This window comes from Homo sapiens, chromosome 12 (genome assembly GCF_000001405.40).
Source record: "Homo sapiens chromosome 12, GRCh38.p14 Primary Assembly".
Lineage (NCBI taxonomy): Eukaryota > Metazoa > Chordata > Mammalia > Primates > Hominidae > Homo > Homo sapiens.
The window spans coordinates 80,491,240-80,516,992 of NC_000012.12; the positions used below are offsets into that span (position 1 = coordinate 80,491,240).

At 34.7% G+C, this 25,753-nt stretch overlaps 1 protein-coding gene and 1 long non-coding RNA gene across 2 annotated transcripts in view; one reads left to right on the forward strand and one right to left on the reverse strand.

The window, feature by feature from the left end:
* PTPRQ (protein tyrosine phosphatase receptor type Q) overlaps nt 1–25,753 on the forward strand; it is a 236,039-nt gene that overhangs the window by 47,005 nt on the left and 163,281 nt on the right. Inside the window, exons 10-17 of the mRNA NM_001145026.2 lie at nt 2,036–2,216; nt 3,694–3,855; nt 3,953–4,132; nt 4,760–4,867; nt 5,011–5,292; nt 14,785–14,967; nt 15,330–15,431; nt 19,084–19,204. Coding sequence (NP_001138498.1) covers nt 2,036–2,216; nt 3,694–3,855; nt 3,953–4,132; nt 4,760–4,867; nt 5,011–5,292; nt 14,785–14,967; nt 15,330–15,431; nt 19,084–19,204 — 1,319 coding nt within the window. The remainder of the gene's footprint in view (nt 1–2,035; nt 2,217–3,693; nt 3,856–3,952; nt 4,133–4,759; nt 4,868–5,010; nt 5,293–14,784; nt 14,968–15,329; nt 15,432–19,083; nt 19,205–25,753) is intronic.
* Nucleotides 5,993–22,244, reverse strand: LOC124902975 (uncharacterized). The gene is made up of 3 exons (XR_007063389.1): nt 22,095–22,244; nt 6,237–6,348; nt 5,993–6,026 (listed from the first exon to the last, which is right to left on the reverse strand). It is a non-coding gene; the product is annotated as an uncharacterized LOC124902975 (long non-coding RNA).

Consider the following 25,753-nt stretch of genomic DNA (forward strand, 5'->3'; position numbering starts at 1 on the left):
ATTCTTTGTGCTACCTCACTATAGTTCATTCTATAGTGCTTTGTACACAGTAGATTTTCAAAGGGTGACTGATTGATAGTGGAAACAGCTGTGTGGTTTGGGCATAAAGTATTGACTGCAACACCAGAGCTTCTCTGAGTTATGTGTTTGTGATTCCTGCCCTCCCTAATTTCCCTGTGGAGGCAGTGCTGAAGTGAGCTGTTGTAAGACAGAAGATCTTTACTTTGTCCCATACAAGGACATAGGAACAAACCCATATAGAGTTCCCTATCCATAGTTCTTTATCACAACTTTTAAAAAGTAGCTTTTATGGGAAACCTGTTGCTTTTCATGACAGCACTTTTCTGGGTAGAGTTGTAACAAGATTTAGACAATTGCATTTTGTAAATATTTGGAGGAATGAAGATTTTTTGACTCATTTCTCCATTCTTTTATCTTTCAGAAGAATTAATATTTAAGTAACTTGCCATTGTAGATAGTTAACTGAAATGCCATAAAATTTCTTGCTTTACTGAACTTTTTCCTGAGCACCTACTTTCTTTTTTGGAAAGTATTAAGTGCTTTGATATTCCTAAGGCCTAGAAAACCTGTTTTTGGCTCTCTGAGTGAAGACAACTCCAAAACATGTAAGATAATTAAAAGACAGATATACCAAAACTTATAAACAACTGAAACCTATATTATGAATTAATATAAACTCTGAGGGTAAAAGAGCATGGAATTGATAAGGAATAGAATTTTTTTAAAAAAAGGGGTTTTGGAGGTAAGTTTTGAAGCAGAACTTGAAAAAAATTAGTAAAAGAGAGTAGATTTTTCAGCATATTCTTTTTTCAAAACTGTTTGATTTTGGAAAATTTTGAACAGGTTTAAAAGTACAGAAAAGAGTCTAATAAGCCTCCATATACCTGCCACCTGGATTCAGTAATCATCAATAGGCTGCCATTCTTGCCTCCGGTTTTTAAATAAATTCCAGACTTAACATCATTTTGTTCCTATATGCCTAAGCACGAATTTCTAAAAACCATGGACATTTCCACCCATAAAATAATGCCATGACCACAATGAACAAAATTACTAATACCATCCTGGTATCATTTAATACCTAGAACACATTCAGATTTCCTTGATTATCTTCACATCCTATGTTGATTAGGTATGTTCTAATTAGACTCCAAACAAAGCAACATTTTCTTTGATTAATGTGTAGTCTTATTTCCAAAGTCAACATTCTACACAAATATCCAATATTATTTGGCCATAACACCTTTTCCCCATTTTGTTTCAATCAATTATGCTAGTGGGGATGAAGAAATGAGAATCATCTAGTTAGCTCAATGAAAACCTCTACTGTATTCATCCATAATCTGTTCCTGATGTTTTCACCTCAGTGTTTGCCATTTTGGTGAACTTGACATGTGTGAATTACATTATAGGATCTAGGAACAATTGCAGTTACTTTAAATATTCCTTATGTCCAGAGTCTTGACAGGTATGCCATGAATCCTGTGTGAAAACTATTAATATTACCATGTAGTTTTATTCTGGTATGTAACTTCACTCTATTATAAACTATTATCATTAATGTATATCAAGCAGGCATATAGACCTCTCATGTATGGTATACAAATGAGGACAGGTAATTAGAAAAGCAAAACACATTCTAATACATCAGTATGCCTAGAACACTTACCATTTGGGGGTGATCAGTTACAATATCTCAGTCATGAAACCTTTGCATGAGGACGTCTTATCTTACCATAAAGAAACCAACTCAAGTCAGAACAAAATCTGTTTCTTCCCAAAATACAGTATTGTTCTCTTAGGAAATACAATGATCACAATGTGTTACAATGATTCAGGGTATTAGTAGCCGGAGAATGAAATTTTGGAATCTAAAGAAGACAGTGGTCATGGAAATATGTTATCTTTTATAACAGCATGATTCCAAAGTTATAGGTTTTTTAGAACTAATACTTGATTTAAGTCATGAAGTGTAACTGTCACAGTCTTTTAAAATATCTACTTTTAATTACAGTATATAAATGACCCCATGGCTCCAGAAATTGTGAACATAGTAGAGCCAATGGTAGGATTATATGAGGGTTCAGCAGAGATGTCGTCTGACCTTCACTCACTTGCTACATTTATATATAACAGCCATCCAGATAAAAACTTTCCTGCAAGGAATAGAGCTGAAGACCAGACTTCACCAGTTGGTAGGTAGAATTTTGATTTTCTATAAAGTTCATTTAAACCACCAGTGCTAGCTAGCACAGAAATGAACCTAAGCTTAGAGTTCAGCCATATTATTAATGGTCTTTGGGCTGGAGTCGGATTTTTTTTTAGCTGTCGGAAAACCTCATGCAACAAATGGAAATGCCACACAGGCAGAAGCTGGCCCCTCCTAACCCATTTGACCTTCTTCCTGGAGAAAGTAGCACCCTAGAGTCTCTGGCCAAGCTGCATAGACAATCAGTTATTACAGTTGCCAAAGCAGGTGTGATGGGAAGGGATTAACATATCTTCAAATCATTTACAGGCCTCACATTCTCTACAGCTTTTGACTAATAGGTTTTCAAGTGTCACTAAAGGTAAATAGGTCAGAAAGTTACAAATCTAGTGCATGGTGTGATAAACAGGTGTAGGTGACCCCAACGATGTGGTGATGTCATTAGTGTATACACTTGCTCTTCAGTGTCAGTGGCTCTTACAGTTTCTAAAAGGAGAATGTCATAAGTGGCAAATTAAAAATACTCACCTGACACATATTATCTCTCTAGTTTTTCTAAAATGTTAAATGAGAAAAACATTTTATTACCTTTTCTCTAATTTGGTACTTGTCCCATTCAAAATTAAAAGTGTTATTCTATTTATGGTAGAATTAGTAAAAAAAAATCACATTACATTCAATAGATGTTTATATTTCACTTACTGATCCATTTTTCTTGTGCAAAGAAGACTGGAGGGCAACACTGAAAATTAAGAGTCCCATGATTTCTGATGCAGACATTCCCTTAAATATTTCAAGTTTGGCCTAATTGCTACTTAAGAGTTTTAGAAGCACAAATTCTAAATAAAGCGAAAATCTAACATTTGAAATTCTTCTGGGATATTTATTTGTCAGTTATCCAAGCATGCTTGCTTTCAAGAATTATTTGGTTTACTGAATGTATGAACATATGGTGAAATTTGAGTCCAAATAAAACTCTTTATTTATTTAACTCTTTTACTAAAACCTGGTATTGATTTATAATATCTCAATTATATATTTCTTTAACTCTTCTACTAAATCCTGGTATTGATTTATAATATTTCATTTATATATTATTGCCTACTCTTTCTTTTCAGAAAACATTCCTAACCAGCCTCTTTAAGAAAGTTGTTTTCTTAAAAACACTAATGTCATGTTTCAGAGTAATGTGTAAAAACTAACAAAATTATATTATGAACACAAAATGTTTGTGGTTATTATTGGGAGGTACTCAGAAATTCATAGTAATATTCAATACGATCTCTAAAATTAATATTTTTATGTTTACTATTATTACACACCTAACTTTAATAGAGGTGTGCATGGAGAGATTAATGAATACGGAGAAATCAGGTTTAAGATTTTATAGTCTAAGAAAAAAATAATTTTGATTGTGAAGCCAAACACCTTTCTTTTTTTCTCTTTTTACTGAATTCAAACAGTAACTACAAGGAATCAGTATATTACTGACATTGCAGCTGAACAGCTGTCTTATGTTATCAGGAGACTTGTACCTTTCACTGAGCACATGATTAGTGTATCTGCTTTCACCATCATGGGAGAAGGACCACCAACAGTTCTCAGTGTTAGGACACGTCAGCAAGGTAAGGATGTATTTCCTTTGAAACAATTAACTGCAAATATTGCTGTTGTACACTGTGATACTTTTTTTTCATTCATATGTTCATTCTTCTTTTTAAGTGCCAAGCTCCATTAAAATTATAAACTATAAAAATATTAGTTCTTCATCTATTTTGTTATATTGGGATCCTCCAGAATATCCCAATGGAAAAATAACTCACTATACGATTTATGCAATGGAATTGGATACAAACAGAGCATTCCAGATAACTACCATAGATAACAGCTTTCTCATAACAGGTAGAAAACAATGTTTTGTTGTTGTTGTTGTTGTTCATTTTACATTTCTATTCTGGTGGAAAATATGCCCATCTCCCTGTGCCTTATATACTACAGAACACATGCTATGTCACTTCATATTTTGTTGTTTTGTGTCACCATGAATCTTTTTAAAATACCTGCATACATAACTCGATTAAATGTGTTTTTCTTTTACTAGATTTACCCACAATGAAGTAAAAAGCATCAGATCACAAGCTTCATAGAAATTTACTTAACTGAAGGAATACTGTATCTGGTATATCAAAATAACTCATTATTGAAGACTAAAATGTACGAATGCAAAAATCAGCTGAAGTAATTCAGCTGACATGGTATTTGTGCCAAGTCAACTATACACCCTGCAGTGTGCCAAAAAGTTACTTTTGCAACTTTAAATTATTGCCTTAATATTTTAGGAGAGAACTTGAAGTCACCAACATGGAAAGGCCTATAAGCCCAAGAATTTGAGGAGACTGCAATTATTTGGAAGCGATATAGATATCTAGTCCCCCGTATAAATTCTTCTTACTGGCCTTATATTAAATGGCACCAATCCCAAGAGTATTATTTTAAGGACATTAAACAGTTTGTCTCTTGTCCTTATAGGGTTAAAGAAATACACAAAATACAAAATGAGAGTGGCAGCCTCAACCCACGTTGGAGAAAGTTCTTTGTCTGAAGAAAATGACATCTTTGTGAGAACTTCAGAAGATGGTAAGAATATCAATTGCAGCTTTAATTTTTTTAAAAAAGTGGTTGTAAATGCTCACTGCCTTCACTTCATGCTACCTCTAGGGTCTAAAGCAACAAACATCAATAAAAATATAGGTACTACAAATGTTCTTTTCTTCCCCTAGAACCGGAATCATCACCTCAAGATGTCGAAGTAATTGATGTTACCGCAGATGAAATAAGGTTGAAGTGGTCACCACCCGAAAAGCCCAATGGGATCATTATTGCTTATGAAGTGCTATATAAAAATATAGATACTTTATATATGAAGAACACATCAACAACAGACATAATATTAAGGAACTTAAGACCTCACACCCTCTATAACATTTCTGTAAGGTCTTACACCAGATTTGGTCATGGCAATCAGGTATCTTCTTTACTCTCTGTAAGGACTTCGGAGACTGGTGAGCTTTTGTTTTCTTTGTTTGTTTAATAATACACAGTGATATAGTAAGCAAAGCTGATAATCGCCATGTTGTTTACATTTTACATAACCTAAAATCCCTCATTATTTTGTTTTATATAATCCAGAAATTAATTTTCTTTTTCAGGCAAAAGTGCAGGAAAAGGTTTATTGTACAAATTTTTAAGTCTGATTTATATAAGGGAACTTCTAATCAAAATCTGTGAATTTTCAAATGAAAAGACCTTGAGAAACCAAGGATTCTTTCAATGTACCTATAAATTTTAGATTGAATGGCTACTTGCTTTCGAGTTAGGTAAAACTGAGACATACTCATAGGAATAGATTCTGAGATTCTAATGAGGTATGTGTATAGATAGTGATGCAGAGTGGGAGCACAAAAATGGCATGCCTGGAGAAGACTTATGGAGGAGACAGCATTTGGCCTGGATCTTAATGAGGAGGTTGGAATGGGCAGAAGGATGTTATAGAGCAGGGGTCCCCAACCTTTTTGGCACTGGGGACCAGTTTCATGGAAGACAATTTTTCCCCTCCCTCCGGACTAGGGAGGGGAGTGAGGTTGGTTTCTGGATGATTCAAGCACGTTACGTTTGTTGTGCACTTTATTTCTATTATTATTACATTGTAACATATAATGAAATAATTATACAACTCACCATAATGCAGAATCAATGGGAGCCCTGAGCTTGTTTTCCTGCAACTAGATGGTCCTATCTGGGGGGTAATGGGAGACAATGACAGATCATCAGGCATTAAATTCTCATAAGAAGCACACAACATAGATCCCTTGCATGGGCAATTCACAATAGAGTTTGCGCTCCAATGAAAATCTAATGTCGACACTGATCTGACAGGAGGCAGAGCTCAGGCAGTAATTCAGGCGATAGGGAGTGGCTGTAAATACAGAAGCTTTATGATGCTCACCTGCTGTGTGGCCCAGTTCCTAACAGGCCACCAGCTGGTACTAGTCCGTGGCGCTGGGATTGGGGACCCCTGTTATAGAGGTTGCTGGATGGGTTGGGAGAGGATATCCCATCTAAAGGAAGTAAAACAAGCAAGGAATTACTTGTGTTTTAGTTTCGGTGAAACTAGAGTAAGACAGTTTGTCTGTTAATCTTATTTTGTTGTTTATATTGTGTTATAATTATATATTGGTGGCATAACTATTAGGCCAATTCTACAATGTATTTTGAGAATTAATAACTAAATATAAAGTTACTATTTTAATTGTACGTTTAAAACAATAAATATTTACTGACTAGATACTGGTGGAACCACATGAAATAATTTTTATAGGTCACAAATGGCCAAATATCAGCAATTTCATATAGTTCAGCCAGATACTATATACGAATTTCTGTCTTGACCTTGAGGATCTAGAAATCTAGTAAAGTAGCTTACTTTTGTAGAAAAGGATCCTGTTGAGACTATTCACAGAAATGAATACAATGAGATGATACAAAAGAGCCCATAGATAATGGCAGTAGTTGAAAGTGCAGGAATAAGAAAGTAATGAAAGGAGCATTTTACATTATCAAGAGCCTTGAAGTGACACTTAATTGATATTAATCCATATATTGGCATGTTTCATTGCTTTTGTAGATATTGTACCTGAAATAAGTATTTTTGAGAAAAATGTCTGCTCTTTAATGACTCAGTTTTATTTTGCAGTGGATTAAGGAAATGAAACAAGCATATTTTTAGCACCTATTAAGGGTCACGGGCCCTGTTGATAGGTTTCACAGAAACTGTCTTTTAAAAATTCTAAACTAAAGCAATACATTATTGTTATCTTCACAGAAAACTAAGTCTAACGAAAAATGGAGGGTTTGAGAGGTTCATTCATTCAAAAAATATTTATAATATACCAGGCCTTACTGGGGATAAAGTAGTGTAGAAGAAAAGGATTTCCTTCCCTCCTTAAGTTTTATTAGTTGGTGGGTGTTTCATTGCCTAATGGCACCAGCTGGAAAGTGATCAGCTGGAAAGTGATGAGCTGGAATTAGAATCCAAACCCATCTGACTGTAAAACCCATTTCCCTTTCACAGCACATGCTGTTTTTGAAGTAATCAACAAAGCTGGTAAATTATAAACTATATCTAAGATCTCTCTGTTCATTGTTACACTGATATTTTGTCATTAGGCTTCTGCTCAGCATGGGGAGGAAAGTAATAACTTTGAAAGATTCTATTGTGATATGAAATAATAACCATTTTTATGAATGCTTATCAAGTATTTCGTTTAAGTGGCCATAGCATCAAGAACACCTTATTTTAATGATGAATTATAAAGCAATGTTTTTGTTTTCTGATTATTACATGCACATAATCTTTTACTTAGTATTGAAAATGTAATTTTATTTTCTGTTTTATTGTCTGTATGAGTTTAATTCAAAGGCAGGGACAATAAACTTTAAGTGAATATAAATTTTGAGATTTAGTTTAAAATGAGAATTTTAATTTTGGAAAGTGTCTTAGAAAACATGCAGAGCCCTTTATTTTTTAGGTGAGAAGACCTAGGACCATTTGGGTAAAAGGACTCACAAGTTATAGTACATGAGAAGTAAATTGGGGCTTGACTATAGGCCTCCTGACCCCCATTACAGGCCTCACTTAATAGGCTCCTGAGATGGCTAAAAAAATAAAGAGAAGGGGAAACCAACATATCCCATGGCTTCCTAGCCAGGCCTAACAATCAGAGTATAGGGTTTAATGCCCATCTTCCTAATATCTGGTTCTCTGTCCTAAGTTAGGGTAGTCTCAAGTTCTGTGCATTTTCCACCTGGATGAAAATGGAAGACAATGGAATCTACATTAGTGACTTTTCCTAGATTATGTTTGCTACTGTTAAACCACCCACTTTAGCTCCTTTGGCAAAAGAGGAAGCTAAAATGTTAGGTAGGGTCTCAAGTGTCATTTGAAGCAAGATGAGCTCAAGAGCAACTATTTTTCTGGGTTTAGGCCCAAAATAATCTTATTAAATACAGTAATTATACCTTCTATTCATGTAAAAAAATATGGGCCCACTCTTCAATATTGTTTCATGAGAAATTGAGTGATGTGTTAACTCAGTGATGTGTTAATATTACTAATTAAAAATAGGAGTAAGTTATTTGGTTAAATGCCTTATCTTTTTAAGAGAAATAGAGTTTACTAATGCTTGGAAGTAAAACACCCTTGTGTTCAAGCAGGAAAGATCAATACAAGATTGATTCTGTGTGTGTGTGTGTGTATCTCTGTGTGTGTTTGTGTGTGTTTTAATCATAGATGTGCAGTTTTCCAATAAGCCTAAGATTAGTTTTTATTTTCTCATACTTAGGGTGTAATAATCATAAATACAACTTTGAGAAGTTCCCATACAAATTACTCTTTTGATGATCTATACATATTCCCTTTCCTTTTTAAGACACAACCATCTTTACTGTAAGCCTTTAACAAAACACCTTGTCTGATTTGGGGCAACAACCATGAGTGGATAATAACTTAGATGTTGACCAAAATTTTGTGTAGACCCCCATAAATTTATTTGTATTAATGAATAACATTTTAAAATTTGTCTGCATACATTAAAGCTTTATATGCCAAACAATAGTCTTTTGGCAGATTCAAGGTAACTTCCCTTTTTTACTATCATCATGGACTATGTATTTTTTCTGTTTTGGAATTTTAATAGGTTCAGCTTATTCCAACTGATTATAATCATTCCTTTTTATCCATCAGTTATCTACTTTATAAAATATTTCTATAATTCGGGGACACTCTGCTATTTCAGAAAATTCTAAATGCGTCATTACTCTTCAAAATCAGTAAGTCATTGAGTCTGTCTTGCTTTATCTACCTGATGATCCAGCACTAGTTATTCCCTAAGGGTAAATGAATAAAAATGCAAAGGATATCAGCCTTGGGTCAGGAATACATATTTACACACTGACTACTGGTGGTAGGCAGACAACTGCAGAGAGAAAACTTCAATCTAATGGGAAATTTTCAAAATCAGAAGTTACACCGAGCTATAAAATTCAAGCATAGCATCACAAATTCCCTTTTTGTAATTAAAGAGTTTTTAAACCCAATCTTTTATCTATCTGTTCCTTACCTGTGAGTTTCTCTCTTGTTTTAATATATTCTGTATCATATTAAATATATTGATTCATTCACTAAACAGCTTTTATGGGTTCCATATTATGTTCTACCACCGTACTAGGTAGTGTAGCTGTAGCAGTAAACAAGACACAATAAATCTCTACCTTCCTGAAACTTGACACTAGACAATCAGAAAATTAGACATTAGAAAATAAATCAGTAAACAAATTTGTGATTTTTGGTAGTGGTAAGTTTTACTAAGTGAAAAATATCAAGGATAGAAGAGAGGAAGAGTAGTGAGTGGGCTATTTGAGATGGAGGACTGAGGAAAGACCTCACTGAGAGGTTATATTTGCCCAGTGATATTAATGAGGTACAGGATTGAATAAGATGAGGATGAGGATGAAAAGTGTTCCAGAGGAAGAACAGCAATTGCCAACTTCTTATAGAGGAAAAAAATTGTGGAGTTGGGGCAGAGCAGGGCATTTCTGTCACTTGAACAGTGTGAGTTGGGGTAGAGAATTCACAGATGAGGCGAGAGGCAGAGGTGGATCCTGAGATTCTTAGGTGCCATTCTAGGAACTTTGGAGTTTAATTTTAATGAGGAGCTTTTGGAGAATTATGGAATAGGAACATTATATGATTTACAGTTTTCAAAGATTGCTGCTGAATATGTTGAATGTTGAAGTAAAGAGAAAAATGAAGATAAACTATTAGATTGTTTGTCTGAGTATCTGGGTGAGTGGTAGTGCCATTTACTTAGATGGGGCAGTCCAGGGAAGAGGTCAATATGGAGAACATCCAGGAGTTCTGTTTGCAACATGTTTGAAATATCCAAGTGCCATTATGAAGGCAGTTAGATAAATAAGTTTAAAGCTCAGGGAAAAGATACAGAGCTGAATATATAATTTGGAGCCTCACCACATCTTTGGTATTCAATCAAGGGATGAGGATAAAGTCATATCACTGGACAACAGGGGGAGACGTTAAGAAGCTTACAGCTATGTCGTGGGCAATACCACACATAGACTTTGAGAAGTAGAAGAGCTAATCAAGGACAAAGCAGAAGTCACTGGAAATAGAAGGAAAACCAGAAGAAGATAGTGCCTTCAAAGCCAAGTGAATAAAGATTTTCAAGTAGAAGGAGTTTATTCCCTATGTCACATGCTGCTGACAAGTAAAGTAAGATGGGGCATACAATTGATTAGTGTTTGGCAAGAAGGGAGGTCATTGGTGACTTCACAGGAGTAGATTTTACAGAAAAAATAATGGAGAAAAATGAAGTCAGATTAACAGAGTATGATAGGCAAAAAAAAATGTAGAAAATGAGGAATGGCAAATTTTGAGGAATTTTGATAAGAAGTGGAGAGTAGACTTCAGTAATAGCTGAAGGAACAAGTGCAATCAAAAGAAGACTTTTTAAATCCCAGACTGTATATTACAGTGTATGTGTGTTCACATGTATCTCTGACTAACTTCAAATGTAAAGTCTCTGAATAGGCAGAAGGAGTGAAATCCAGTGCAGACGTGGAGGGATAGAGCTTGGAAAGGAGGAAAGAGGGAAGGCAGTTAAGGGAAAATTTGAAGTCAGATGATAATGTAGCTCTCTTCTCAGTGTTTTTATTTTTGCTATGGAATGAGAAGCAAGTTTATTAGCTTCAAATAAAGAGGGGGAGGGCATATCAGAGGTTTGTGAAGAGAGAACATGGTGAAAACATACTTTAAAGAGTGGGAGACTGAATTAACTAAAACAAAAACATTAGCTATCAGGAAATGAAAAGGATCCATTTGAGATTTGATGTTATAAATTTAAGTGGAACTAGTCAGCATAGAATGGTGTTTTATTCAGCCATTTTCAGCTATTACACTGGGCATGTGAAGCTAGCAGAGTTTTGTTTAATTCCAATTGTAATTTTCCCAGGAAAGTAAAATAGAAACAGAAGGACCTGATGGATATTGCTAGGAAGTGATTACAGTGACTGTGGACTCTAGCCTGAGCATGTAGGGAAATGAAGGCATAAGAGAGGTGATGCACAGTGAAGATTTGATGAGGGTCAGAGAATTGTTGGATTCAAAGTACAAGAGTCAGTAAACTGGAAAGATAGGAGTCAGTTGTCAAAGAGAGGAATATTGGCAGTTATTGGTAATGACAAAGTCTTAGGTGTTGCCATGAAAGCCAATGAGGTACGGTGGGGTAAAGTAAGGTGGGGGAAAAGATTATTGGAATTATAGAGATAAAGAAATACAGAGTCCAGGGAACTGGATAGATCATTTGCATGGAAGTTGGCCTCTCTGAGTAGTAGGGAAGAAGTCAGTTATCAAAGTGATAGCATCTTTAAGATGTTCAGAGAAGTGACAGAGGTATTACCAGTTGTCTGTCTTAAAGAGGGGTAGCACGTGATGGTATCTAATGGAATGGGGCTTCAAAGGATCTGTGGTTCTTCAGGAAGAAAAAAGGAGTAATAAATGCAACTACCCAACTCCTACACCCTATCGTTAGTGAGACTATGGTAGAAAAACAAACATGATACCCAAGAGGGCTAAACTGTAGTAGTATTTCTCAGCAGGTCCAAGATTTCACTTAGAGCTAGAAAGTTAAGAAAGCATTGAGGGTAGTTGTTGAGGATTTTCCTCAATGTAATGGGTTGGCCTGGGGAAACACTAGAGAAGATTTAGCACATTTCAGATAGAAAGGATAGTGGAATTATATTGCTAAATCGAACTATGCATTGAATTGCAATCCTCTCAAAGTTTTAAAAGTATCAATATTCTTAAATTAGTTTTTCCTATTAAGTGTGCCTTGACACCATAACCCAATAACTGGTAACAATCAAGGGGAGGGACACTGTATCTACATTTTTAAGGCTTCTGAATTTTATTTATCTACTAAATTTATTATTAGTAATTTTTATATGCATTCAATTTAGAATACTAATAAAAAGTTTAATTTCTTTCATTTGAAAGAAAAGAGTTTTATAACAGAACTCTTGAATGGCAATAATATTTACCTATTTAGTTTATATTGTTTAACCCTCCAAGTTAATTATTTATGTTATTGTTCTATGTACTCAATTTTTAAACCATTATCTTGGCCACTCTGATCTTTCATCTGTGGTAAATAGTTTTCTACCTAAAGTACATTGTCTACAATTTCATTTACTGAGGATGTGTTGAAAGCATTATCCCTCAATTTTTTTTATTGTCTGAATATGTTTTTAGTTTGCTACTCTTTATTTTTCTGGGTATGGAATTCCAGTTGTTTTTCAGTTGATGTTGATTGTCAGTCTAATTGTCATTCCTATGTAGAAGATTTTTTTTTTCTGGTACTGTTAAGATGGTTCCTTTTTTGATATTCTGTATTTTCACAATGATATGTCTAAATATGGTTTAAAAATTTCTGCTTGAGATTTACTGAAATTATTTGATCTGATGTTTGATGTCGTTGAATAATTTTGATGAGCCTCAGCCATTATCCCTTTAAATATTTCTTCATTTTCTCTACTATTTTAGACCCCCTCCGGATATCATCTATGTCTCAACTGCCATTTTATATTTTCCATAACTGTCTTCTTTGATCTACATTCTTGATAATTTCTTCAATACTATCATCCTTTTCACTAAAGTTCTCTTCTTCTTTATCTAATCTGCTCTTTAATACCTCAAGAGATTTTTAATTTTAGTTATTTTGTTCTGTTCCAGAAGGTCTATCTTGTTCTCTTTCAAACTTGCTTGGTTATTTAATATTATTTACCATTATTTAAATAATTATTTGCTCATATTTTAAAATATGTTTGATTTCTTGAAACACATTAAACATTTCTATTTTATTTCAATATCTGGAATCTCAAAATCTGACTACTGTGTATGTGTGTGTGTGTTTTCTTTTTCTTTTCTTTGCTGACTTTCACTATTGATATCTGATTTGCTTGTGTGTTTAGCGATTTTATCAGTGAGCTCATATTCTTTGAAACTTTAGCTGTGAGAAATTTATGTGGTTTGTGTTGAAGTTGAGTTCCTCCAGCAAGTATTTTTATTTACTTCTAGTTGCTTAGGAGTAATAGCAGCTCAGGACTACAGTTTTATTTTAAATTCTGAAGTGGAGGTTTCTTCAGGGTACATATAGATATCATGGATTTAGTCAACATATGATCATAGGAATAGGCTTATAATTCCAAAACAGCATATTATTTATTTCTTTTCTATCTCTCCACCCAGAGGAGTGGCAACAGAGAAAGAAGGTTTCCTTTCTGTCCTCTCTGCATGGTAGATTTATTTCTCACTTCCCATTTCCTGAGAATGAATGCATCACATTGCACAAGACCAGGAGTTACCATTCACATAGACTTCTATGGTACATGCAGAAGAATCTGAAGTATCCCCTAGAATTTTTCAGTATAATAACCCTGGTTAAAGTTGCATTCTTTGGGGGTTTCAGGTCTTTCTGCAGGGATATCACTCATCTTTCAGCGGGCCCCAGGGTTTTATAGTCTTTCTCTGACACACTACACATATGTTACTATACAAATGCAAAGGCACCAGGATTAACCAATCTATGGCAAGGCAAAACTGGCTTTAGTATCAGCTTCCTTCTCAGGATTTCTGTCTTTGCATTTTGTTTACTTGTTTGTTTTTCTGTGACTTTTTTTGGCCAGTCACCACTGAATTCTAACTTTCTTTTCAGCACCACAACTTCTTAAAGAAAATTTATTTTAATGTTATACAGAGTTTTAGTTATTTTAAGTAAGATATTCACTCAGTTTAGGGTATCTGTTCCAATATTTTACCGGAATTAGAATCTTGTATATAGTTTTGTACTCAAATATACATAGAAAACCATTTTATGCATAATGTATTCAGTATAAAAATGTTGTTAGATACAGAAAACTAGTGTTTTACTTAATGATATCCCATATTCTTGGGAGATGGTTTTGCTGCCAGGTCATAATATGCAACCTCACATCCAGGAGGGGCTCCTTGCCTTGTCACAGACCTTGCTGTCGACCAAAACTAACCTACTGATCTTTTTTTCATATTATTATTAATGAGAAGTAGAATCAAGTTTTAAATGTTTTAAAATTCTCTTTCTTGCATCTGTGTGTTCTTCAGTGCAAGATATGTTCCTATAGTTCCAAGTATTTTAGTAAACGTATCATCTTATAACTGTTATTCTGTGGAATCATAGTAGCATTTTCTTTTGAATGAAAATTTTTCTTATACAGTTGTAAGAACTGTAATTTATTTATACTTTACTTCATTCAGGATATTTATTACGATTACATTCTAGTGAAGGTTCAATTGTAAATAACCTAGTGCACTTCAGTGACAATTTCAGCAGAATAGATTTTTAGAATGGAATTGTTTTATGTATCTATATTTTTGTTTCTTTCAGTGCCTGATAGTGCACCAGAAAATATCACTTACAAAAATATTTCTTCTGGAGAGATTGAGCTATCATTCCTTCCCCCAAGTAGTCCCAATGGAATCATACAAAAATATACAATTTATCTCAAGAGAAGTAATGGAAATGAGGAAAGAACTATAAATACAACCTCTTTAACCCAAAACATTAAAGGTAAAAGAACAAATCTAATATTGGATATTTGCATTTATAATGACAGAGTAGCCACAAATATTAGTTTAATGTTAATAGTTTCAGATTATTTTCATGCAGGGTATTACAATTTTGTCTTTTTGGTTAAATAAGCTAGGAGTTTATTGCAGGTCACATGAAAGAATACTATAGATCCATCCTTTTCCACATTATCCTATATCATTTTGTCTTCATAAATAAGAGCTACTATTGCCAAAGAATGACATTTTCACTTAGTTTTTATTTTTGGAAGATTGTGTTGACAGCCATTTCATAGTTTGCCTCTTGCATATTATTAAATGATATTTTGTAAGTTTCAACTTACCTATTTGATTTCTCTTTAGTACTGAAGAAATATACCCAATATATCATTGAGGTGTCTGCTAGTACACTCAAAGGTGAAGGAGTTCGGAGTGCTCCCATAAGTATACTGACGGAGGAAGATGGTAAATATAATAGTGGATATTGATATACTTTGATTCTATAACATTCCAAGAAACACACGTATAGAATGAAACAATGTAAAAACTCCTCTAGTCATGGGTATCAGTTGTGTACCATACCAGCGTTATACAGAGATTTCATTGTCATGGTATAAAAGAAGCTAGCAACATCAGATTTACATTCAGTGAAATCAGGCATAAAATGTTTTTTATTTTCTGAAGTCATCAGTACTCTGTAAAAAACAGTCAGTCATGTTTTTCCATGGGGATTTTCAAGGCTTAAAATTTGGTTTGAACGTTAACTGATATATGTCATGACTGAGTTTTTCAACTTTTACATTTTTAAGAATAGACATTAACATGAGCTTTGAAGCAGATTATGTTTATGTAAATGTTCAGCACTTTTTTACGATATTAATGATTAACTTGATAATGAGATCAGGCTATTGTACAGGCTTCTGCATAATTGGACAAGATGCTATTCCCCAAAGTTAGTAGCTTTCATACTGAATATTTAAACATACCTTTCCCTAACCCAAATAAAGTCAACTTTACTACTGAGGCCACTTTACATTGATACCTTACCAAGTTAGACATATATTATGCTAAGAATATAACTTCTGAAAGATATATTTGGGTTAGGATTTGCATTTTATGTTTTATACATTGCATATTTAAAGAAAATTATTATTTTTTTCTGTAAAAGGAATTCCTATTTCCAAGAAGGGTAGGCCTGGAAGTATCATACGTGTTTGTGGAGTATCTTTTCTTTTTCATCTTTCTTTCTTTCAAGTTTCCCCATCTTCAAGCTAGGCCATAGCCTGTGACTGTTAAGGGCAGAATGTGCTTAGACACTGCTAGGAAGGGAGACTTTTCCCTGCATTGCTCTCTTTCTTTTCAAAATAATAAAGTCTTCAAATCCCTCTTCTCTTTTTGCAGGTCTCTCCATGTTTTAACCTCTACCAAAGCATCTTGGCTAGGGCTGTCTGTGTTGCCCCAGTTTCTAAGTGGGCTGCCTCTGTGGGTCAGTTTTCCCTAATCATTGCATCTACTTACTAATGCTTGCTTTTCCATCAAAACTTACCTGCCCAAATTCCAATTTTTCTTCATAAATAGATTCTCCTTGCTCTGAAAGTTAAAATTATCTTAATAAAAAAACCTTCCAAATGAGTCAATGGTTAAAAACTAGGGAAGAAAGTTAGTGCTCTTTTCTATCTTATGTAATACCTAAGATTATATGTAGTAAAAATTTTACCAATGCCTTTTTGAAAATAGTACCCACTTCTTTATAACTAATCTAATCAAAAGTTCCTAATGGTAAGAATTTGAGATCTTATATGATGGAATGAGACCAGTAGTGAACATATATTTTGAGCAGGCAGACGTTTTACCACTCAAGTCAATAGTTCCAAAGTATGTTGTGCATCTGAATTACCTGGGCTGTTAAAAATATGCTTCCTCAAGGTAAAGTTCCATCTAAATTCTTGGCCAAGTCATATGATTTCTAAGGAACAGGGTAAAGAACAAGACTCCCTTGTTGAAAAATTACAGAAAATCGAGAATGGATAAAGATCTGAGAACATTTGCCTCTTTGGGAATTAGGAACTCCTTGCCCTCATGAAGCTCACGGTTAGAACAAGAGACCTAAATTTGACAAATGTGTGGACAAATAATTTTTATGATTTTTAATTACTGGTATAAATGTTCCCCCAAATTATTCACCAGGACAAAAGAAGGACCTAAGTTACTCTGGGGTGTGAGGTAAAGCGTAGCGGTGGAAGTTATGTCGAAGCTGTGACATGAAAATGAATAAAGAGGGAGGGTGAGAAATAGGAAAGATCATGCCAGGTAGAGGAGTGAGAGATTTGTGAAGTCCTCATGCCAGGTAGAGGAGTGACAGATTGTGAAGTTTCTTCTCAGCTACCTTGAGATGCTCTGAGATGACAAATTGAATGCACTGCAAAAGTTCTAATTTTTCTAGTTTCAATTTTGTTAGATTGTATTTTAGAATACATGTGCCAAAATATTTTAGAATACATATGCCAAAATGATTAAAACTTAGTCTGCTACAGTGGATGTACAGTGATTTTTTTAGATAGACATGTTAATTACGTTTACTTAGCAATAAAATGTTTTACATTAAGAATAAAATATTCGGAGATCTACTGAAGGTTAGCTTTTAAAGACACCACGCTTTATCTGGTATTCCACATAAGCATCTTAAAGCATATTATAGAGTAGAAATGGTTAGTTGCAACATATTAGTTTCTAAGTTACTGCTATTTTTAATTGAAGTCCTTTTTGTAAACAATAAACAGATTTTACAAGGATGCTAGGAAAAATATTTATAGGTATTTGCTTTGACAAATGAAAGAGAATTTTCAGAGATAATTCTTATCTTGGGAAACAGACATCTCTAACTGATGTATACATTCCTGTGATAATCAATATTTGATAGCAACATTATTATAGTGCCAGTGAAAATAACAGAATGAAAATACCAAATACAGCTATCACTATTATTCCTTATAACTTGTCTCATAAACTTTCTGCTGCTCAATAAAATTTTTTTGGAAAATTATTGTTAGTTAAATAATGAAAACATGCACACATGGGAACACATACAACTACAGCTGAGATTATTCAGAGAAGTAAAAAAGAAAAAATATTGAAGTAAGTCAGGTAGCATTCTGTCCAAATTATTGGAAATAGTGATCTGTATATGAACTGTATTTCAATTGACATTGTTTAAAGATGTAAACAAATTCTCAGAATTTCTGTTAGCTACCTACGAATTCACATTCCGTGCATAACTGTAACAATGAACCAAATTTTAGTGTTTTCCTTTTTTACATGTAAAAAGTTGTATTCCATTATTCTAAGACATTACTGTGTTATTACACAGCAGCTGAGAAATGTCATTCTAAATGTTTTACCTAAATGGAAATATAAAGTTGGCTGACTATTTTGCAGTAATGTTTTTATTGCTTATTCAATGCCAAATAGCAAATGTATTTATATTTTACACTATTACAGCAGAGTTACAAGTAGATTCTAAACTATTTTCTTATTTACGTGCTACATTGGCATTTCCTTTGTAAACCATTCAATTTTGAAGACTGAGTGAACAGAGTTTGATATTATTTTACTTTTTAATGACACAACAGAGATTGAGGAATGTAGTTTTCATCATTTGTGAGGTCAGTCATTTTAACTGCTTTCTCAATGTTATGCTTATCACTTTCCCAACTTCTTGGATGTGTGATTTTTTTCCCACCTCTTTTTTATTGTCTAGGGATCTCTTTTACTGTATATTTATTCACCCTCAATAAAATTTTTATTTTTATTAGAGGATGACAGTTGACCAAGATGTACTTGAACAGTAGGTGAGTCACTGTGACATACCCCTTGTTCTTCTTTCTCATGAAATATTTTTTTCCATTGAATCACAGAAACAGATGTTCTAATACCACCATGCAAAATCTTCCTTTATCATCTCATTTTGAAAGTAAACAGTCTCTTGTGCTTCTGGAGAAAAGCACTGAACCTAATTCCTTTACCAGAAAGTTTATAATAAAAATTGTGTGCATTTCCATGTTAACTTTTTCTTATATATGTTTAATAAAACACATTATTCTATACCCTAACTTTACAGCTCCTGATTCTCCCCCTCAAGACTTCTCTGTAAAACAGTTGTCTGGTGTCACGGTGAAGTTGTCATGGCAACCACCCCTGGAGCCAAATGGAATTATCCTTTATTACACAGTTTATGTCTGGTAATAATTTTTTTTTTGGAAATAGTTCTGAGAACAGATATTAATCTGTAACATAATAGGAATGTAGCTTTTAGATTTCAGAATGTGGTGCTACATTAGGAACCTGATTATTAATAGGCTAGTTAATATGTTTTGATTAAGAAACAAGTTTTTCCATATTATGTAGTGGTTCAATCATGGTCAAATGAAATAATTTTGCAATTAAAACAAAAAATTATGTGTTACGCATAATTATACTAAATTCCTACTCTTAAAAGTCATTGACAAGTCAATTTGTATGAATGTAAGCATATACTTTTACACTTCTGAAGTTTTACACAAGTACTCTCATGTCATTGTCTTTCAAGTGTCCCTTGAGCAGAGTAATTTTAATAAACATTTAAAATAGCTATTTTTAAAGAAATCTGTTATTTAAGGTCAATTTTTAATTTGAAATGTAAACAATGTATTTCGTTTCTGATCACTGTTACCCTGATTGCCTGTTTATCCTTCAATTGTGAAAAAGATGAAATCCAACATTGTATCTCATGTTAGTTAGCATGCTTATACTACTTCATGAGAACTTGGTAGATTGAAATCTTTACTTTGATGTAATGTAAATCCTCTTTAGATTCACCAATTAGGTAACACATTACCTAGTGGATTTCATATATTTCAACTCAGAAAATACAATTTACACAATACTTCGTAAAACATAGCCATTTCCTTTTATATTTCTGAATTTGAAGGGCCAGCATTGAGGGAGATGCCATGATGTTTTAAAGAAGTCTCCTCTTCTTCTCTTTCCTAAGTTAAGATTTTTCTTTCCCTAATTCCCCTTTAACCCCTTTACATATTTCTCTTTAAGACTATATTTTTTGTTTTCTTTGTTGCCTGATTCCTAGTGACTTTGCCTAGTCGTGACGAAAGTGGGAGTGTCTTGACTCCCAGTTAGCGAAAAGGAAGCAGGGAAGAAGGTTACCATTCCTTTTCATTACCCTATTTATTTATTCACTCATTCATTCATTGAACAATATTGATAGAATACCTATATACTCATGAAGAAGACTCACATAAGACCGTTGCCCTCAAGAGTGTTGTATCTCTTACACTCCCAAGAGATAACTGGATTATATACCCATAAACAAGCAAACAAGGGAATGTTGGGGGAAGGAGGTCTACTTTTGATGGGATGCTTCAGGAAGTTCTCTTTGAAGAAGTGTCATTGAGCTGTGATCCAGTTGACAAGAAAGAGCTTCTTGCCATGTAAAAATCTACAGGGCAGAACTTTCAAGAAGGAGGGAATACCAACTGCACAAGCTCTGTGGGGAAACAAAACTTGTCACTTTGAAGACCAGAAAGGAGGTCAATGTTGCTGGGGATTAGAGAACCAGAGGAGGGTAACAGTGGGGACAGGAAATAAAGTTCAGGAGTCAAGCCATGGTAAGGATTTTGTTTTCATTTTAACTATAAAGGGAGTTCATAGATAATTTAAATCACTTTAGATTCCTTATAAAGAATGAATTGTCAGGGACAAAAGTGTTAGCAGGGATGCTAGGCTATTTTAGTAGTCTGGGAAAGAGATGGTAGTGGCAACAGAGGGGAGAAGTAGGTGGCTTTGAGCTACATTTGGGAAGAAAAACTAACAGGACTTGGTGATGGATTGGCTGTGCAGATAAGAAAAAGAGAAGAATCAAAGATGACTTCTAGATTTTTGAATCAAGTGTGGTTACTACTAGAATTTGATGGCATTGATTAAGTTAGAAAAAAATTTAAATGAAACAGATTAAGTGAGAATCAAGATTTTTCTGGCTGGGATTTTCAGCCCTGCATTATGAGAATAATTGTTTTCTTCTATACAGTGATCATGCTTCCCTTCCTAGAGCTTCCGTGTATATCTAGCATAATGCATAACACACCTAGACAGAAACACATGTGGTTGGATAGCATTTTAAGGGATGCTGTTCACCCAGTTTTTCTCTCTCTGGGTATGAACTCCATGTCAATGGGAGCCTCCTATTCTAGGAACTTAGCTATAACTTTAGTTGTCTATTTATAGTTCCAAAATGTCTAAAGGTACCAGGATTTGTTAGGAATAAGTAATGACAATGTACATTACACCACCTCTTAAGAATATAGCATGGCTCAAATTTTATATGCTACAATTCTGATGTCATATAGAACATGACCTTTTATTTTCTGTAACTGGTTATTTTTGCTTTTTGCAATGATGCTGGGGTTGATGAAAGCACTGATTTTAGATAAACTATTCATTTCTCATTCCCTCTGGGTTTAATTCGGTCTCTTTTGGGTAAATATTCAATCAATTCAAAGTTTAACTCTTCAATTGTACTTTTTCTCTCATCCTTCAAGAGGTATGCTTATCTCATTTTCTGAGGTAGTCTGGGTACAGGGGAAGCCCAATGAAAGTGGGGTGAGGGAATCTCAAATCCGTGATATTGAAACAGAAAAAGTTCCCTTGTCCTGCTCTCGGGGCGTGCGACCGGGGTGTGTCTCAATTCTCTGGTGCCCCCCTGCTCAAACCTCTAGGGGGAGCATGCAGACGGGCAGGCTGTGGGGCTCCGACCCCATGGCAGGGTCTAGGGGTGAATGTTTACAGCTGAAACCCCAGTGGGCGTGTGTTACAGTATGCTCTTTTAGTTTAGCCATCCGTAGGGGGCTTGTGTTAGCTCAGTTAGACCCCCTGCCTTATCGCAAGGACAGAGGGCTTTCTGTATCCCGGGGTTTCTTGCCTTGGAGTACCAGAACTGGATCACACGTGGGCTTGGAGAGCACGATTTATTGAGTGGAGATAACTCTCAGCAGAGGGGGGAGCCAGAGGGAAATGGAGTGGGAAGATGGTTTTCCCCTGGAGTCGGGCCACTCAGCAGCGACTCTCCTCCATCCTCACCCGCCAAACTGTGCGTTGTTCCGCTGGTTGATGGCCTGCTGGCCTGCGGCGTCTGTCAGTGTGTGCTGTTAGGCCGCTGCATTCCTCTCGATGTCCAGCCGTTGTGTCTTACGCCAACGTGTTCCTGTCAACGTCCAGCCGCTTGTGTGTGTGCCCGTTAGGGTCTTGGGATTTTTATAGGCACAGGATGGGGGCGTGGTGGGCCAGGGTGGTGTTGGGAAATGCAACATTTAGGCGGGAAAACAGAAATGCCTGTCCTCATCTAGGTCCCTGGGCACAAACAAGCCCGGGTGTGGGGCGCTAGGCAGAGACCCGCCCTTCTCTACCCCGCACTTCCCTGCCCCCACTCCCATATCAATATCGTGAGAAACGTCACCTGACCTTTTTATGGAATCATTCTGGCACAAACTTGCAGTCACGGCTTCCAGTTTCAAGGTTCCTATTTTCGGTTTTATCCTTGGTCCAACCTCAAGGCTTATTCTAGTCCCCTGGTTCCCTAGCATGTCTGTGTTGAACCTCAGGTAGCTAGATACTCCCGGCTGATTTCTCTGCACCAATCTACAGTGTGAAGGATTTGAGAAAGGTACTTCCACACCCTGCTGTAGCTCTGGATGATCTGCTAGAGGAGCCCTTACATCTTGCTTGACACAGAGATTTTCTAAGCGGCTTGTCATGTTTATCTCCATCCTGAGAAAAAACAAAGTCTTCTTTACACTGGGATTTCTCTCCCAAATCTATTCAGGTGTTGTCACCACTTAATCCTTACCCTAAGATCTTGGGACACTCCAGTGTGATGGCTTTGCCCTTTTATTTCTCTCACTCTTTTTTCGTAGTGCAAAATTTTTCCTTTTATCTTTCTTTTGACTGATGGAAATTTCCTTCTTCCGTATACTCTTTCCTTTCTACACCTCAAGGGTCTTAATTTAATTATAACTACCTAATTGTAAAACTCTGTGGTCGCAAATAATCCAGGATTGACTCTTGATGTGTAAATGGAACGTAGAAAACACTTTTCCCTCAGTAAAACTTGGCTTTATTTTACACACACACACACACACACACACACACACTCTCTCTCTCTCTCTCTGCTTTAAAATTTACTTTGTTCATTGCGGTATTTAAAAGAGACTATTACCTGGCACATAATTGAAACTTAATATTTGTTCAATGGATGAATGAATGAAGAGTATGTTTTAAGTTAGAAACTGTATATATATATATATAAATATATATTATACAAATATATATATTATATAATATATATAATATATTTGTATATATATTATACAAATTTTTAAATATATTTGTATATTTTGTATACAAAATATATATTTGTATAATATATATTTTTATATATGATATATATGCAATATAAGTATATGTATATATTATATATGATTATATTACATTAGGTATTATATAATTATTACATATTATTATATATAATTGTTATATATATTTTTTCTTATTGTATTTCTGCAATAAGAATAGTGATGCTTTTTCAGATAATGGATGACTCAGTGGAAAAGAGTAAGATTACATAAAGATAGAACAAAAAAGGATAGACCTTAACATATTCAAGAATATTATCTATAATATATATGTAATATATATAATTAAATATACACATATATTTAAATTTTCAGCATTGTCTTACTAAGATGCTTGCTGGAAGCTTTATGCTTTAGTATCTTATTAACATACTTTAGTGTCTTACTAACATCCTTAGTTGGAAATAGCCCTGTAAGGTATAGTAAGTGTAGCGAAGGAAATGGTCATAATTCTGGATTCCTTCATTAGTGATCACTAATCTTTTTTGGGGACTCTTACCATAATCAGTTTTGGGGAGAGGAGGCAGGTATCATAATGTAATACACATGGGTTTTTAGTCAGTGAGACATGGGTTTGAATCTTGGCTCTGACACTCAGTTATCTTTGGTTCCTGTAAAGTACTTAATAAATGGTAGCTATCATTGTTAGCAGGATTACTGTTTCAGGAGTCCATAGTTCTCTCATAATTCTCAGTTGCCATTATTTCAGCTGCTCCAATAATTACCAAATTCTTGTAAAAAACATTTATTTGAATATTTCCTTTTTTTTTTTTTGAGAGGGGGTCTCGCTCTGTTGCCCAGGCTGGAGAGCAATGGCGCCATCTTGGCTCACTGCAACCTCTGCCTCCTGGGTTCAAGTGATTCTCCTGCCTCAGCCTCCCGAGTAGCTGGGATTACAGGTGCCCATTACCACACCTAGCTAATTTATTTTTATTTCTTTTTATTTTTCACTAGAGATGGGGTTTTGCCATGTTGGCCAGGCTGGTCTTGAACTCCTGACCTCAGGTGATCCTCCTGTCTCAGCCTCCCAAAGTGCTGGGATTACAGGCGTGAGCCACTACACCTGACTGAATATTTCTTTTTTTTTTTTTTTTGAGTGTGTCTTCAAAATGCAGGCTGCCTATGACATTTATTATATTGGGTAACTTTTTTCTTTATCATGAATATTTCTTGACAAAATAACTCATGAGGGTTAATGTGTAACCATTTTATATCCATTACTGTATGAGTCACATTTGATTTGTAGATGGTATGTTCAGAAATCTGTTTTAATCCATTGCATTTTAAAATGATTTTTCCTTCTGAAGTTTGCTTTGCAAAATAACTTTTATCATCCATCAAGATGGTAAACTAGCATTTCCCCCCTGCAGTTATTGATAAATAACACGTATTTTTCAAATGATACACAGTCCTTGAATTCCTAGGGCAACCACCATTAAATAAATGGATTTCTATTGGAGCACTGTAAGCTTATTGTTTTAATTCATTTTGAATTGAGGCATGATGTTCCAGTAGAACTTATTTATTTACTATTTTCTTGAATTCAACTTGTAATTGTTTAGCACTTTTACTTTTAGATGTGTCAGTAAAATTTAACAGTAGTTTTCTTCTTTCTTTAGGAAACTTCTAAGAGAATATACCCTCTATAGCTAAAAGACTGAGGACTGAAAGTGATGCTGAAAGTTCTAACTTATATACAAATCTTGACTCTGAAATGTTTCTCAATTTTCTTAGTAGTAATTATAAGAGGTAATTCTGAAACAGTCTGACAAATGTTTATTAAACTCTGTGGGGAGATATATAACATACAGCACCTTAAAACGATTGATGACTTATTGCAGATAAGATATGCCCATGTGAAATAATTGAAAAACACTTGCCAAAGAATATATTAGGAAGTCAAAATAATTCTAATGCAGCTCTTTATTAAATATCACTGGTCAAATAATTCCCTCAGTAACATAAAAGATTACCTTTGTAAATGGACTTCTGAATCCTAAAAAAGTATACCTACTCTAGTTTCTCCAAGTTTTCTAAAAGATTTTCACCGTGTTAAAAATGACCTCATGGTTACTGCATATAATATAGATCAATCATCAGAATGGGAAGGGGGCCATTTCAGATTTTCTGAAGTTATATCCATTTTGGAGTGAAAGTGGTAAAGATAGATTTGTGAATTAGGAGAGCATCTCAGTGGAGGCAGTGTATGAAGGCAGCAGGAATGACTGTCAAGAGTTTGACAAGTAGCATTATAGACATGGAGTACTGAGGCTAAGTTGGGAAGATGAAAGAAAGAAATACAGATAGATGGAGCGGTAGAGCATATGA